Source organism: Homo sapiens, chromosome 7 (assembly GCF_000001405.40).
Source record: "Homo sapiens chromosome 7, GRCh38.p14 Primary Assembly".
NCBI lineage: Eukaryota > Metazoa > Chordata > Mammalia > Primates > Hominidae > Homo > Homo sapiens.
In genome coordinates, this window is record NC_000007.14 from 152233978 (window position 1) to 152251780 (window position 17803).

The 17803-nt window shown below is 35.2% G+C and overlaps 1 protein-coding gene across 1 annotated transcript in view, besides 1 other annotated feature; it reads right to left on the minus strand.

The window, feature by feature from the left end:
* The window catches only part of KMT2C (lysine methyltransferase 2C), a 301079-nt gene that overhangs the window by 99053 nt on the left and 184223 nt on the right, over positions 1-17803 (minus strand). Inside the window, exons 12-16 of the mRNA NM_170606.3 lie at positions 16876-16989; positions 15899-15976; positions 13925-14643; positions 4730-4849; positions 1840-1956 (exon numbers count right to left, since the gene is read on the minus strand). Of these exons, the coding sequence (NP_733751.2) occupies positions 1840-1956; positions 4730-4849; positions 13925-14643; positions 15899-15976; positions 16876-16989 (1148 nt within the window). The remainder of the gene's footprint in view (positions 1-1839; positions 1957-4729; positions 4850-13924; positions 14644-15898; positions 15977-16875; positions 16990-17803) is intronic.
* Positions 2293-2493: a silencer, noted in NCBI's record as "peak6855 fragment used in MPRA reporter construct". NCBI's record gives its function as "represses an SCP1 promoter by STARR-seq MPRAs in K562 erythroleukemia cells {active_cell/tissue: K562}" and the evidence as "EXISTENCE:reporter gene assay evidence [ECO:0000049][PMID:32103011]".

Consider the following 17803-nt stretch of genomic DNA (forward strand, 5'->3'; position numbering starts at 1 on the left):
CACAAAAATTAGCCAGGCATGTTGGTGCGCGCCAGTAATCCCAGCTACTCAGAAGGCTGAGGCAGGAGAATTGCTTGAACCTGGGAGGTGGAGGCTGTAGTGAGCAGAGATCACGCCACTGCACTCCAGCCTGGGCATGGTGGCTCACGCCTGTAATTCCAACACTTTGGGAGGCCGAGGCAGGTGGATCAGGAGTTCGAGACCAGCCTGGCCAACATGGTGAAAAACTGTCTCTACTAAAAATACAAAAAAAAATTAGCCAGGCGTGGTGGCAGGCACCTGTAATCCCAGCTACCCAGGGGGCTGAGGCAGGGGAAATCACTTGAACCTGGGAGGCAGTGGTTGCATGAGCTGAGATTGTGCCATTGCACTCCAGCCTAGGCAACAAGAGCGAAACTCTATCTCAAAAGAAAGAAGAAAAAAAAAAGGAAAACACAACAAAAACCCCCCACAAAGAAAATTTCAGGCCAAGATGGTTTCACTAATAAATTAACGTATAATATAAGAAGATACATTTCCACTACTACACAACTTTTCCAGAAAACTGAAGAGGAGAATATACTTCCTGATTCATTCTATGAAGCTGTAGTTATGCTGATACCAAAACCAGACGAAGACATTACAAGAATGTAAGACTACAGGCTGGGGCATGGTGACTCACGCCTGTAATCCCAGCACTTTGGGAAGCCAAGGTGGGAAAACTGCTTGAGCTCAGAAGTTTGAGACCAGCCTGGACAACATAGTGAGATGCTGTCTCTATCAAAAATTTTAAAAAAGGAGTTGGGTGTGGTGGCACACACCTATGGGCCCAGCTACTTGGGAGACGGAGGTGGGAGGTCGAAGCTAGAGTTAGCTATGATCGCACCACTGCACTCCAGCCAGGAATTAGAATGATAACCTGTCTCAGAAAAAAAAAGAAGAAAAAAAAGTGCACAGGTCTACAACCATGGTGCATCCACAGTTTTATTAATACTCAGCAAGAAAAGGGAGTACACTGTTAACAAATGCAACAGCACAGATGAATCTCCAAATAATTGTGCTGAAATAAATCAGTCCAAAAAGTGTACAGTTCTGTATGATTCCACTTATATACAACTCTAGAAAATGCAAACTAATCTTGGGGACAAGGACGGATGGCAGGGGGAATGCAGAAAATTACAGAGGGGCATGAAGAAGCTTTGGGAGATGAATATATTCACTATCATGATTGTGGTATCGTTTTCAAGGGTGTATATATATATATATATCAAAGCTTATGGAATTGTACATGTCAAATATAGCTTATATCAACTGTACCTCAATAAGCCTGGTTTTAAAATTTTTCTTTTTGAAAAAAGGACAAGAATCTAAGCTTCCTTATTCCTGGTTTAGTAGTAAACTTGAACAATTTCACCTGTCTCCTATACTTAAAATGACATTTCAGAATTTTAAAAACAGAATTTTAATAAAATAGCGAAGTTATTACATAAAATATTTGCTAGTTAGCAAATATATTTGCAATACACATATAAATAAAGCCTCATAACATGATAGTAAGCAAATATCTATCAATCTTAAAATTTTTTAAATAAAAGAGCAACTATATTACATACTGACTTTTTAGAGAGGGTTGGCATAGAAAGATAAGGAGTCAAAGAGGAAGGTAAGAAAAGAGAAAGGATGAGAAAGTAAATATACAAGAAAACATAACCAGAGGCTCAAAAAAAAAAGCAAAGTAGGACAGTAAAATAAACATTTTGACCTATTTATATGACTCTTAAGATCAAAATAACTTGCTATGAGATTTTCATCATTAACTGACATTTAGATTAGAGAAAATATACATGAAGCAAGCCTCACCCCAGGTAATACAACAGCTCCGATTCCACTTTTCAGCTTTGACCTGCCTCGGCCACCTCGCCCCGACAGTCCTGCACCTCGAGGTCTCCGCTTTCCTGGAAATCCAGACCCACGGCCCTATGTAACAGATTGGGAAAAGTCAACATTCTGTGACAGACCAAAATAATTTTTAAATCCAAATGCCACTGAGATAAAACATTTTATTAAATGTTACACAAACACTTCCTTAGATAAGTATTAAGAGACCTGGCTTATTATTTTTATCTTTAAACGTATACTCCACAACTTAAAAATCTAAATATAAAATGCTTACAACCTTAGAATCATACCTTAGGCCTGTCACTGTGAATGCTATCAGCAAGCCTTTGCATGATTTTTCTCTTTCCCACTCCTACATTCTTGGTGACGACAACAACTATAGCCTGATCCAGATATTTCGAAGTGCAACAAATTGTATTCAATATAGAGTAAGTATAAGGAAGAACTCTCTCATTAACTGGTCTCGCGGTGATTACAATAATAGCTAACATCTATTGAGTACTTACTATGTACTAATCTAAGTATTTTTTACTCTCAACAATCCCATATAGTAGGTTTTATTATCCCCATTTGAGATGAGTGTGCTGAGGAATAAAAAGGTTAAGTAACTTGTCCAAGGTCACTTAGCTAGCAAGTCTGGCTGCAGCGTCCCGGGGTTGGAAGCATATTCTGTACTGCTACATCAGCGTGAAAGTTCATTTTTGCTAGTGTTGTGTAACAGTATTCTTCCTCTCATTAAAATTAAGTCAGTTTCCTTCACTATTCAACAGTTCTCTTATGAACTCAACATTTCTACCTCATTCACCATTGTATTTAGAGGAAAATTTATCATTATTGTTATTACTTTTATTTTTGAGACAAGAACTTGCTCCGTCACTCAGGTTGGAGTGCAGTGGTGTGATCATAGCTCACTGCAGCCTAGAACTCTTGGGCTCAAGTGATCCTCCTGCTTCTGCCTCCCAAAGTGCCAGGATTACAGGAGTAAGCCAAAGCGTCCAGCCAGGAAAAATTATTTGAGGATTATAGGAAAGCTGACAAAAGGCTTTGTGAAAGCTTTGCTTTAAATAATCTGAATAATAAATACTTGAAATGGAAATAATTTATCTGACTTCTTACACAAGAAATAAACCTATGGGAAAATGTGTTAAATTCCCTGATAATTTCAGACATTAAGTACCAGAGTATGGTGTTCCCTGCCCCCTCACCCTTGTTTGTACTAATTAATTACTCCTTGAAAAAACCTGGCACCTCCCTAAGTAGATGAATTATGTATATTTAAAATTATCCAGATGCTCAGGAAAATACTTAGATGTTTCCCTCACAGTTAAGTTAAATAATATGTCATATCTTCAACTGATGTCCCTTATCATAGTTTGAAATGAACTTATTCCCTATTTAGCAGAATGGTTTCCAAGTCAAAAATTTATGGTGATACTGTAAGCATAAAATAGATACACATGAACAAAAGGAACGGGAGGAATGGCTTTTTTCCCTTTGGATGTAACAAATACAGCCAGCTCCCAGTTTCAAACTGCCACTCCTGTCTTCTCTTACCCTGCTCTCCTTGAGATCCCTTTTGAGAAGTGCATCAGCTTCTTTGCACAACAGATGGATGGCGTCAGGTTAGTTTTTTGGGGGTTTTTTTTGTTTGTTTATTTTTGAGATGGAGTCTCGCTTCTTTGCCCAGGCTGGAGTGCAATGGTGCGATCTTGGCTCACTGCAACCTCCGTCTCCTGGGTTCCAGCAATTCTCCTGCCTCAGCCTCCCTAGCAGCTGGGATTACAGGCACATGCCACCACACCCGGCTAAATTTCTTTGTATTTTTAGTAGAGACAGGGTTTCACCATGTTGGCCAGGTTGGCCTCGAACTCCTGACCTCAAGTGATCTGCCCCCTCAGCCTCCCAAAGTGCTGGGATTACAGGCATGAGCCACTGCGCCCGGCCGAGTTTGTTTTGTTTTTAAATTGGTATAAAAGATTTTTGAAAAATTAAGTTAGTGATTAAAAATCGAGACTACAGTAATCTCTCAATTTATTTTCTCGAACATGAAATGCTGACCCAGAAAAAAAGTAAGTGAAAATTGGTGGTCTATATTATCAAACTGTCAAATGAGGTATATTTATACCTCAATATCTTGGATGATATCAGGGGGAGGTAGGGAGGTTAAAAAACAATAGTTCTTCCAGTCATGAAAGAAAATAAAGTATAATCTAGAATTCCTTAAAATCCTTGATTAGTCTAAATTAAACAGCCATATTCCAGAATATTAAATATAGAATATGAAGAAAAACTGTCATCTCCAGTCAATGAAGTATTTTAACTTTTGAGTTAATACTTTTTCAAATTAATTTTTTTCTCTTCAAAATGCATCACACTACTTAACTCACTTCAAGGACTGGCAGAGCCATCAACCAATGTCATGGGGGAAAAAGCCTTGTCATTTTAAGGTATTAACCAGACAATGAAATATGCCACAATTTTGGTATTTCTTCTCCATGAGAACATAATAAATTAATGGAGCTTTTTCTTTTGCTTTTTTCTAAGCAACAAGGTTTTATGATATCATGAATGAAAAGGTCCTTAATTACCTTTTGGTCTACATGTCAAGGACTTCTCCCTCATAAAAACAGTAGTAATCACAACAAAAGGAATTAACCATAAAAAGAGGTATTAAAAATGTATACTTGATTTTTAAATGCAAGCATATTATTTCTTTACATTAAAATTTTTAGATTTAAAAAGTGTTTCTTGGAAGCTCAATCTAGAAAAGAAAGATTTAATTCTTAACATCCAGTAGGGCAAAACAAATCAGACAGAAATGATATATGAATGTAAATGCAATTTTATTTACCACTTTGATGCTCCAAATGGCACTGCCAGGAAGCTGCCTGGGTTTAAAAATTTCCCGACCTTCTGAAATGTCTGGGGACCAGGAAGGTGGGCTCACTGTATTATGGGTACTCCAAGCCCCCTAGGATATGGCAGTTGAGAAAATAGATGTGTAAAACTCAGCAACATAAAAGGTCAAAGCCAGCAACTAAGGAATTTTAGAACAGCAAAAACAAATGCAAACGTATGGAAATTTAGGACAAATTGCTTCAAGGAAGGCAAAATAAGTTAATCACTAACAGTGATTTAAACATTTAAGTATAACTTAAATGTTTGCTGCTACAATTTACATTAAATATTTTATTCTGCCTGAGACATCACTACAATGAAACATTAAAAATTAAGGTTTATAGGACATCAACATTGACTCATGAACTGCAATTACTGCACCAAAAAGTAAATAAAAGTCAATCACACTTTAAGAATTAACACTAGAAGAAAGTATTGGGGGGTTATTTTTCTTCTAACAACTATCACTCTACTTAAAAGGAGAAATGGATAACCATAAGGAATTCTATATTCTATAGCTATAAACAACCAAAACCAGTAGGCCAAAGAATGCAAGGAGAAACATAAGCAATCGATAAATGCATACACGTTAAACTGTAGAGAGCTGGTAACATTAAAATGCAAATACCATTATAATCTAAGCATTTAATCACTCTTTCTTCAGTGACCATTAGTTGTCGGTTTGGTTTTGGTTTTTACTTAGGGAAATGAATACTTTATGGAAATTACATCCAATGGACAAAAGTGAAGAAACGTTAAAGCAAATTGTCCTAAATTTGCAAATTAAAATGCCTAAAGTACCTGATAAATTATATAGAAAGTAGTATCTTATTAAAATCTATATAACTAAAACTAAAGCATTTTACTTCCAAACAACCACATTCAGCAATACCCTGAACTAATCTGATGAAGATGCTAAACAGCATAAAGAAAAATGTTTACTCCACAAAGATAACATTTTAAAGAAAAACAAGACAAATGTCAAACAATAAAAGAATATATTTTGAATTAGGTAATTCAATGGTGCATGCTATAATTTTACCAATTAAGTAACCAAAACTTAAGACAAGGTACATAGTACTTACCAGGTTTCTAGAATATCATCAAATTAAAAAGTACTATCTCATTAATCACATAAAAATACCACCAGGAATTAAAATAACCAGAAATAAGAATGTGACTACTCTTGGGGTAAGAGATAGGTAATGGAATAACAGTATTTTGAGAAAAGCCACACAAGCAATAGACTGGTTTCATTTTTAAGTCACAAACTGAATCCACACACATTGAAGTCCAGCAATCCAACTCATTCTCTCCAGCAAACACTTTATTTTTTTCCCTCCAGGATTACCGTTAGGTGTTCTTTCTTACCCATCAAATCTCTAACCTAGCTCAGGTAATCACTATGCTGATTTCACTGAGCAGCAACCACTGCAGGTCAATTACCTCACTTTCATAATTTCCAATCAACTTGAATCTGTACCTATGTCTTCTTCCCTACTATTAGTAAGGAAGTGTTGTCAAAAGCCATTTCTCTTTTCTCATTTTACTCATGCTCCTGACATCTGGCATACTGTTCTGCTGGATTTGGCAGCAGTCCACCTGTGGATATTTCACTGCCTTCCTCGCTAATCTTTCTTCATCTCCTGTACGTGTTCTTCCTCTATTTGACTTCCAAAGCCCTGGAGTTTCCCAGGGCTTGAGCCTAGATCCTAAATGGTATTATCTACAATGAGGGCATCTTGGAAGTTGATGCTTCCCATATTCTTATTTCTAGTTTTAATCAAAGATCTCCAAATTAGCAGGATTTTCAACTTCCTTCTTAGCATTTCCATTTTCTCACACAAAACCCCTCTTAAGTTTGCCATGTTTAAAATTTCTCCCTTAACCGGTTTCATCCCAGTCTTCCCCATCCTTATAAATGGCATCCAGTCCCTTGTCACTCTCCTTTGCTCCTTCAGTCCTCTCCCCCAACACTTCATCAATGCAAATCATCAGCAAATTCAAGACTTTTTATCTTCAAGTTTTGTCTCCAATCCTTCTACTTCTTGTCACTTCCACCACTAGCAGCTCAGTCGTGGCCACCACCATCTCTCACCTAACCTGCTACAAGAGTCTACTGCTGGTTATGCTTCTCCGACCCTGCATCTACTGAAGCCTTTCCCCACAGCAGCCAGAGAAACTTTTCAAAAGTACAAATGTGATCAAGCAAGTCACTATTCTATTTCAAACCTTCAATTGCTTCTCAGAGCACTTAAAAGACAAACCTTTCCCAATGCCTTTCTCCAACTAACCTTGTGGCATTTGTCTCCCCGCTGCTACGCTCCAGCTATTCTGGCTTCCTTGCTGTCCTTCAAACATGCCAAGCTCTTTATCAATCAGAGCCCGACTGACTCAGAACACTTCACTATATCATTCCAGCCCCTCAATAAATGTCTGGCATTTTCTTTCTTTCTTTCTTTTTGAGATGGAGTCTCGCTCTGTCACCCAGGCTAGAGTGCGGTGGTGCGATCTCGGCTCACAGCAACCTCTACCTCCCAGGTTCAAGCGATTCTCCTGCCTCAAGTCTCCTGAGTAGCTGGGATTACAGGCATGCGCCACCAGGCCCAGCTAATTTTTGTATTTTAGGAGCGATACCATGTTGGTCAGGCTGGTCTCAAACACCTGACCTTGTGATCCACCAGCCTTGGCATCCCAAAGTGCTGGGATTACAGACGTGAGCCACCACGGCCAGCCATGTCTGGCGTTTTCTAACCCTTCAGGTATGGCCTTACATATTTTCTCAACAGCAGACCTTTCCTTAGTGCTCCCGGTGAACCATCATCTCTCTTACCACACCATTAGTGCCTCTCATTGCATCACCACCTAGGACGTTTTATTGTTTGTAATTTTATTTAGTGGTAGGCAGTGGGGGCAAAAGATACCTAAATTACTTCTCTCAATATTTCCATTGGTTTTTCTCTGAGATTTGGCTAACATACATCTTAAATTCCTTTTAGTCGATAGTTTAATATTATGTTGGCAGTAGACAGTTCTCAAAAATATGAGACAGAAAGTCGTACTCTAAGATAAAAATAATGTTGAATAATTTTATTTCAGAAGTAAGAATTTTCTGGTAATTATGTATTATTCATCATAATTTAAAAGTTAGCTTTGATGCCAAAATTTTATCTCACTTCAAAAAGAAGACAGACTTTGTGTAATTTTATAGTTCTGAAGAAAAATTATCATTATACTTAGATATTCTGACAAATTATCTAGTATATTCCTTAGACCTTAAAACTAAAATATAGCTATAATTACCAAAGTTTAAATTATCCTTCAGATCTTAGCTTTGATCAAGAACTTACACAAACCACTCAGAAAAGGTTAGCTGCCCCTGTAATGTATGGGCTCTTCCCCTACAATCCAGTTGCAGCACTTTTTACACTGTAATTAAAGATCATGCCCCTTTCTGTTCACTGCTATGTTAAGCACCCTGTTCAGCACTTATTGAACTTTTTTTCTGCTGAGCATCTATTATCTTTTTTTGCATATGTGTATGAATTCATCAATAAACAATGAACTATGATATGAAACACACTAATGCCTCCACCAGTAATAACCTAGAATCTTGAATTTCTTCACTTAAAAAAAGTTACTAAAAATTACTAAAAAATCTATATAATGCCTCCTTAATCTACAAACTGAATTAAAAGCAAAATAGTTCCTAATGTAATCATTATTAAGTTGTAAATAGAATCAACTTGCTATCAAATACTACAGAAACTAAAAAAACACTACCTGGCAGGGACTGAATTTGAACCCAAGAAAAATAATTTAACCCAAAAACAGTTTAATATTAGCATTAAGTTTCTTTCTGTTTTGAGGCCAATTTCTCAGGTAAACTGTCCAAGCTAGTAAGTTATACAAGGACTGTGGGATGGGGAAATGAGAACAATAATGACACGTGGAGGATAGGCTATTTAGAAGCAACTTTCTATTAAAAGTCAAATTCTATTGCTGGTTGTTAAATATGATCAAAGTCACTCTTACAGCCCAAGAGTACTATCAGTTTTAAAAGCAGCCAGAGAAGGTTTGGTGTCTCACTGGCAAACTTTACACCTCCAAATCCTAAATCAACCCCAGCCCCACACTCTTCCAACATACTATGTAAAACCAAGGTTGCTTATAAACAGTAAGTCTAATTTAGGAAAAGTGAAAGCAATGAAGAGAGAGAGCCGAAAGGAAGATAACTGGTAAAAGAAACAAAAGAGTTTACAGTTTGTCTTTTTGGTAAATATAATCACTTGTATACAGTGGAGCTACAGCAGCAAACACTTCACTATTTAGGGAATTCTTAAAAGAAGTCTCATATATAAAATTGAGTTCGATATCAAGTAGAACAAGAAATTAGACCTAATCCTGTTTTGATAACTACAGAAACAGCTATTATCAGCTTTAGCCTTCAATAATTTCACAATACAAATTAGGTGGCACTAGCAACAGTAATATCTCCAAAAATACCACAACAAGCACAAGTGAACTAAAAGGAAAGTCTGGTACTTCTAATCGGCTGTGTTGTTAGCTTGGTGTTCCAAAGGGGTAGGTATTTTTTAGGTTTAACACTATGGTTCTCTGGCTACTTTTAAAACTGAAAGTACTCTTCTTATAATATAAAGTAAACTTCTTATAATTTGTCCAAGAGATATCAAAATACAGTACCTATGTTTTCATTTATGAAATTTTCTTGAAATATTTACTGTAGGCTGGGCGTGGTGGCTCACCCCTGTAATCCCAGCACTTTGGGAGGACAAGGCGGGTGGATCACCTGAGGTCAGGAATTCGAGACCAGCCTAACCAATATGGCGAAACACCGTCTCTACTAAAAATATTTAAAAAATTAGCCAGGTGTGTTGACGTGCGCCCGTAGTCCCCGCTACTCAGGAGGCTGAGACAGGAGAACTGCTTGAGCCAGGGAGGCAGAGGCTGCAGTGAGTGAGGTCGTGCCACAACTCCAGCCTGGGCAACAGAGCAAGACTCAATCTCAAAATAAACAGATAAATAAGTAAAAATAAAATAAAGAAATGTCTACTGCAAATAATACGTTTCATAAAATGCTTAATAAAAACTTTCAATACCATCATGAAAGCAATTAGAACATGAAGGTGTCTGAACTAGATCATAGTAGTGTGATTACATTCAATATCTTTCTATAAGACGTGATGATACATACAGGGTAAATAATACAAGAAGACCTAAGATTATTATCTCAGAATTTCCTAATTAGAATGGGAATACAACTGTGCAATGAGAGAAATGGACTGAAGACAGAAATAAAAACAAATGTTATGATTTAATATGACAAATTTAAAATTTCCACTTTATTTTCCACCATTTTTAAAGAGCATTCCTTACAGTATTCAGTTTAATGCATTTTTAAAAATCAGTAAGACAAGTAGCACATTTCTCTAGTTCAGAACTCCGCTTTCAGGGTTACAGTTAAAGATGATCCTAGAAGTGCATTTTAATTGGTCTAGGGTAGGGCCATTAGCTTGATGTTCTAAAATCTACCGAGTTGATTACAATATGTGGCAGTGTCAATAATCACTTTCTTAAACCCAGGTCGCAAAGTACATACACCTATAAAAATGCTGAAAAATGGGCCAGGCGCTGTGGGGCTCACACCTGTAATCCCAGCACTCTGGGAGACCCGAGATGGAAGGATCGCTTGAGGCCAGGAGTTCGTAACCAGCCTGGTCTACACAGCAAGACCCCCATCTCTATAAAAAAATAAAAAATATTTTTAAATGCTGAAAAATGAAATACTAAATTATTTATGAATAGATAACTTCAATAAAAGATGAGAAAATACAACTAGGTCATTAGGACAATTTGTATGAAACAATATCCAATTTGCTGTCTGTTACTTCTCCTACCTTATCATGTCTAATTTTTCCTCATCTTTGTGAAATCCTGCGTCTACAATAGGCAAGAAAACAAAAAACAAAAGGAATCTTATTCTATTCACAGCCATCAGAAAAATGTGTTACTATTCCTGTAGTCAGTTAGGTTCTAAATCATACATTTGAGATATATTTGAAACATGTCATAAAGAAAATAAGCATCATATTTCTCACTAAATAGCACCTGAAATATTCCATATGAAAGGAAAAATACAAAAAACTAAACTTTAATTACTAACCTCCTTAAAGGAAAATAATTCTATATGATTTGATATTTGATAATGGATGTCCAATACCTGAGATATAAATTCCATTTTCTGTGTCCTAACATCTCACCTTCAGAAAATCTCCAATATTGGGTTATTTGGATTATATATTTAAAACTGAATATACTTGAAAATGTGAAAGATTTGTTGCAGCAACAAATGGTTTAGCAATTATCTGCATTAAAATGTGTTCCATGAACAACAGAAAAAGAATATTTCTACTTCAGTCCTTAAAAATTGTGAAAGCACAGCCACAGTCTTAGTTTGTCGATCTTGAATTCTTTTGGTATTTTAATTTCACCAATAATTCCGGAACTGCTGTTTTTATATTTCTCAAAATGTTTTGTCTTGCATCGTCCAATAAGGCAGCCACCATCATATGTGACCACTGAGCACTTCTAATGCAGCTAGCCAGAACTGATGTTTTAAGTATAAAGCATCTTGTTCATTTTTATACTAAATGCTGAAATATTGTTTTGAATATACCAGGTTAAATAAAATAGATTAAAATTTATTTCACCTGTTTTTGTTTTTTTAAAGTGTAACTACTTGAAAATTTAAAATTACACATATGGTCTGCATTATATTTATATTAGACAGCACTGGCTTACCGTTCTACTAGTTGGCTAGCTTGTACCTCCAGATAACATCTGATAATCCAATCACTAGCTATCACAAACTAGATCTTTCAGATGTTTCCTATTAAAATGTTCGTTTAATTTTGAAGTGAATTCCTAGAAAAGCTCATATAATACTATTATAGAAAATCATTAAAATCAACTTAATAATTTGCCCACCATGAAACAGAACTTAAGGTAAATCTACATTTCTTTGGTTAGTATTTACTTTACTGGTAAAGACCAAAGAATTGGTAATGTTCAACAAAATATGAAAATGCCAGTGATGTTAACAAAAAATAGCTGGAAACCAAAGAATCTTGCTTACATCACAATCACAGCCAGGAAAATGCAGCTTATTTTACAGCCAATCCCCAACGTGAAGAATATGTAGAAGAAACAGTAAATAAAAACAGAAGTATAATACAGAAATGCCTAATACCAAAGAAATTCATGTAACAGAATACTGAACTTCAGTATTTCTAATATACGGATATACACATTCCTGCTAACTGTAGAATATTTCCTGCAAGTTATGGTCCCAGTGCCTCACCAATGGAAGATCTATCTTGTACTATTCAATTCATACTCTCCCTAATAACAGCACTATATTAGCAGGTTCATCATCAAGTGAAGGCTGTTTGCTAGATAACTAAAACCAAGATTGGAAAACTAAAAAGCTGGAGGGAGGGAAAACACAGCCTACAAAATACTTACAAGAGTAGCAGCAAATGATGAAGTAGTAACAAGAGGGGCAGAAAAATAGAAAGATTATCATCGGATTTGGGAATCAAAGACAGCTCAGCAAAATACTAGGACATGGCTCATATAAGATGGAATAAGCCTGGAAATACACCCCCCTCCCCAATATTTCGGAACATAAAGTCTACAGAAAAAGAGTCCTAATGTATTGAACCTGGTTTCTCAATTGAAACAAAAGTCTACAAGGAAGGAGAGATAAGTAAAATTTAACAGGAATACATATGAAGCAGTATCTTTAAAGAATGTAAATATATCAACCAAAAGTAAATTTGAGATTCAAATTTCCATTGGTAAAGTCTTTTCAGAGTCAGAACAACATAATTATTATATAACTATTCAAAACAAAACAAAAAAAAACTTACTAGAAAGGAGCACAACTGGTTTGAGAAGAAAAACTTTTCATGGTAGAGCAGAAATAACTGTCAAGGAAAATACTTAGAAAAAGGCATATATAAAGAGTGGCCTAGTTTTACTGCACACGTCTTTTGCCATGCAGAAACAGCTAAATCCCATCTGACAACTACTTTCCCTTTCGTGTACCTTGTCTTTAGAGAATAAAATATATCTGGGTTTGATATAGAGGAGACTAATTTTCACATTAAAAAATGATTTTCTTAAAAGCTTGGCCTTACAGTTTAAAAATTATACGATTAAAATCAATATATTATTCCTATAAAAAGCCAAACTTTAATCCATTTAAATCATGAAACTTAAAACTTAACTTGAAGCAATTTCAATCATGAAACTTAAAACTCCAAATTACTATTGTGAATTAACACTTCTCCACTATTTGTTATCTTGCAATTTTAAAAAACACTTCAGAAAGCAGCAATTTTGTAAAACAATAAATAATTCGTACCTACAGTATCTTCATTTTGCCATGCAGTTTTACTTAAATCTCACTTAAAAAGAAATGGAACTCATTCTTAAAGGGTAGAATGTACATGATGTAAAGCAGACAAAGGAAGATTTATCTTTACTTACTGAAAATCAACAGTACAATTCTAAGATTTTTTTCCATGAAACTACTGAAATAAGTCCTACTTGAAAAAAGAAATCCCACAAGAGTTAGCAATTAATAAAAACATCAAAATGAGAAATTCCCCAGCATGGAAAATTCCTGTCATAAATGTTGATGTTTATCCAGTTAAAAATATATACAATGAATAATATCAATAAATAAATATATTAGAAGGAAATAATAGATGTTAGTTACTGTATACCCAAAACTATACTGTATTTTAGGCTCTATATTTACTGCAGCACAGAACTAAAAGAATTTTTAAAGTTCTTTCTATTAGAAACTATTATCAATAGGTTGCATCTTTATGGCCCAACTGAGTTGAAATTCCAAATAAGATCACTTCAAATTTAATAAATGGCATTCTTCATTAACAGCATTTAAAAAATAATGGCTGAAACACATAATCAACATTACACTGAAGTTCTATCTGAAGACAGAAAAAGTTGCCATCCACACCAAAGCTACACATATACCTTCTGATTTTATAGAATTGTTCCAATATCTTTTCTGTCAATATCATTAAAATCACCCTACCTGTTTGGACCGAGGTCTACCAGGAGAAAATTTTCTCTTAGTAATAGCTGGTTTACCCATGCCAATTTTTGGAGTGACTGAGATGTAAGTTGTTGGCATGATGTTTCCAGCAGAGGAACTAAGAGCTGAAGGGTAATTATGCAGCATGTCATGCGAAGGCAAGTCTGAAGAAGGTGTTGGGGAGGAAGACACATCTGCCTTGCTTATGTCTGCTGATGATGAAAATGATGACTCTGTCTCAGATGATAACTTTATAGATTTGCCTCCTTGGTATGAAACATCTTTCACACAACCCTCAATTGTAGGAGTCATTTCAGAGTCCATCAATCCAGTAGAAAGTTCAGAATTTTCTTTCTGTTCCTTTTCTCCTTGTAGCCTTTCTATAACCAACTGTTCCTCAGGACATAATGAAATACTTTCCTCATGTGGGGACACTAAGGTTTCTAGTGGAAGAGTGACAGATTCCATGACTAATTTTGGAGGCCTTGATTCTTCTCTGGATACCACTGTTTCAGGTTCCTCTAACAACTGCAGTTGTTCTTGCTGCACAGTGATCTGGTGTGTAACGACTTCAATGTTTTCTGTCACTTCCATTTTATCTTCAATTTGATCTTCGCCACAAATATGCTTCACTTCAGAAGACATTTTCAGGTCTTCACTATCAACTTCATTAGAAATCTGTTTTTCCAATTCAGTATTCACTGTATGTTGGGATGATACTACAAAATTCAGAACATTTGTTATGGCAATGTACAAACAAATTTTAAATTTTCTAACTATAGATATATAAAACATTTGGCTACACTAGAACTTAAATCAGAAGGTATTCATCAAAGCAGACAATTATTAAGTGAATGAAAGCCAAAGTACACAAGGATTTATGGATTAGAATCAGCCACACACCAGAAAACCTAATGAAAACATTATGTTTTACAACTTAAGGATTTCCAAATGGATTGAAAATTACACAGGAAAAGTTCTCATACTCATTTTTTAGTTAAGAAAATGAGGATCAATCATGTTATGTGAGGTACCTAAGTTAAAAAGTAAAGAGTGATCTAGAATGTGTAGGCATTTTCTAATAGTAGATACCCAGATGTAACAAAGTTACTATAGACTCAAAAGCACAGACAGAAAAGATTTACTAACCACCAATATTTATTTTGCTTAACCATACCTGCCAACCTACCCAAAATATTCTTTGGATATAATCCTTGTTCTTCATCACTGTCTATAAATTAAAAGACTAATCTCAGGAAATCTATAAACTTAGATATCAGAAACATAGTCACTGGTAAATTTTAAATCAGGATACCAGTATGTTAAACCTTTAACTCAATCTCATCAAGGTAATTTTTAAGTTATAGTAAAAAGACACTGCTAGCCTCATTTACCAATCAGTGACTAAAATTTATCTGGTTTTTTTTTTTTTTTTTTTTTGAAACAGGGTCTCACTCTGTGACCCAAGCTGGAGTAGAGTAGCACAAACATGGCTCACTGCAGCCTCAACCTCCTGGGCTCAAGTGGTCCTCCCACCTCAGCCTCCCAAGCTGCTGGGACTGCACACATGTGTCACCATCCCCAGATACTTTTTTTATTTTTGTAGAGACAGGGTCTCACTATATCGCCCAGGCCTATACATGTTCTGATATCAAACTGAAATCTCATCTTCTTTCCCACTTTATTGAAAGACTACAGGTAGGGATAAAAGAAAACTACCAAGTAACAGATCTGAAAGTACAAAATATTTTTAATCATGACCTCCCCCCTCCAAAAAAAAAAAAAAAAAAAAAAAAAACCTTTCAAGAGAAACTAACCTTCTTTAGATCCATTGTCAATTCTTTTCCAGAATCTCTTAACTAAAAGATTTAGTTACCGTAATGTATATACATACAGCAATCGCAAAAATGTCTTTGGGATAAAGACATTATCTTGTAACTCAATCAAATTAGACAATATGAACATACTGCTTACCAGCAATAAGAAGACTATCTGTGTCAAGACTTTCTGAGGGATGACTCTTCTGTTGCTCTTCAGTGTGGACTTGAACCGCTGTGAGTAACACATTTATAAAATCTCTAAGGAGTCAAAATTTCTGTAACACTGTTCCCTCAACAGTAATTTGAGTAAAGAGTTTTATTCTACTAAATGTCAATTTCCAATATAAGCATGAAACATTGTACCACTTATTAGTAAGTTATGAAGACAAAATTAGAAGTCTTTGCACTATGGTAAAAATTTTTTAATTGTCTTTTTCTCTTTTTCTTTAACAACTAGACCTCACAAGAAAGATTATAGAAAATAATTTTAATGAGAGTTATTATACGTAAACTTAATAAATTTCAAAACATCTCAGTGGCTTTTTATGTATACATTATAATTTTTATGTATACTATATAATTGAACATACAACTTCACATACAACACCAAAGACTTTCAGATGAGCCTGTGATTAAATGTAACAAGTAGTTTTCCCCCAACATGGTCTCTTATTAATTCCAGATCTGCAAGTACAATAATAGCTCTTATCAATATTTACTACAAAAAGCTTAATTGAAACATCATGGAAATAAGTGAAATAACCCTCAATAGGACTGCTGAGATGATCCAATACAGTAAATTTTTCATTATCTCAGCATGAAACATCTCATCATCAGCAACAGCTCTACTTAGCAACTACAACTAAAGAAATAAAAATACGAATTGCTTTTTAATAGAAAATCACTTGGTCCCTTAACCAAGTAAGTACTTATGATTAAGTCTAGATGGTAGCTGAACTACAAATACACGCATGTCCTTTCTCCTATTAATTTGTCTAAGATTATTTTACTAAAAAACTCTTCCTAAGTGACTGCATCTTGGCTTTTACTGAAGTTTTAGTCAATATTCACATATTTATTGTATATACACATTTTCTTCAAAAACAGAGTATATCCATTAAACATTCTTACCATCTGGAACAATTCCAGGAGTGGACTCCTGACCGTTGACATCTTTATTAGCTGCCTGCTCTGAGAATACCATTTGATCTTCAGGGCCTTCAACTTCCATTTCATTGTTATAATCTTAACAAAAAATTATTAATTCTTTAGCTCAGAATGAGTTTTTTTCTTTGTTCATTAAGTCAACAATTATGATTTTGTATGAGTAAGGGCAAATCATCACCAAAAATGCTTTAAGTTTTTCTTCAGATTTTTCTCTGTTGAACCACATGTATATTTACATTTTTAAAAAACATGAAAATTATAATGCATCAAAAGGTGGGCCAACCGTGGTAGTTCATGCCTGTAATCCTAACACTTTGGGAGGCCAAGACGGAAGGAACGCTTGAAGCCAGGAGTTCAAGACCAACCAGGCCAACATAGTGAGAACCCATCTCTAAAACAATTTTTTTTAAAAGGTAACTGGCACATTATTTTAAAAGGATATTTCAAAACTAAATACTGATGGCATTCTGGAAATGAAAGGTTAGTAATTAAGATGTTTAGTTATCCTTGAAGATGATAAAGAGAAGTTTTACAAAAGCTGCCACTCATAATGATGAAAATGAAAAACAATCTGGCGAGCAGTTCTATTTCCTTTACTCTCTAAGACTCATGTTTTTAACAGTAGGATACTACTAAAAATATTCCATACCTGAACAAAATCTTGGGCTGAAAAGGTGATAATTAACTTAAGAAGGACATTACAAAACTACAACATGCTTAGAGAAAAATAACCCACATTATAAAGAACAAACTAAGCAAACCCAAAGACTGGGGAACTTCCACTGTCGGCCTGAAGAACACAAGTGAAGGAAAGCACACTAGACCCGGAATTCAAATACTAAAAAAAACTATCTTAAGTTAGATTAGATTTTAGCCATCAGATTCAGAGATG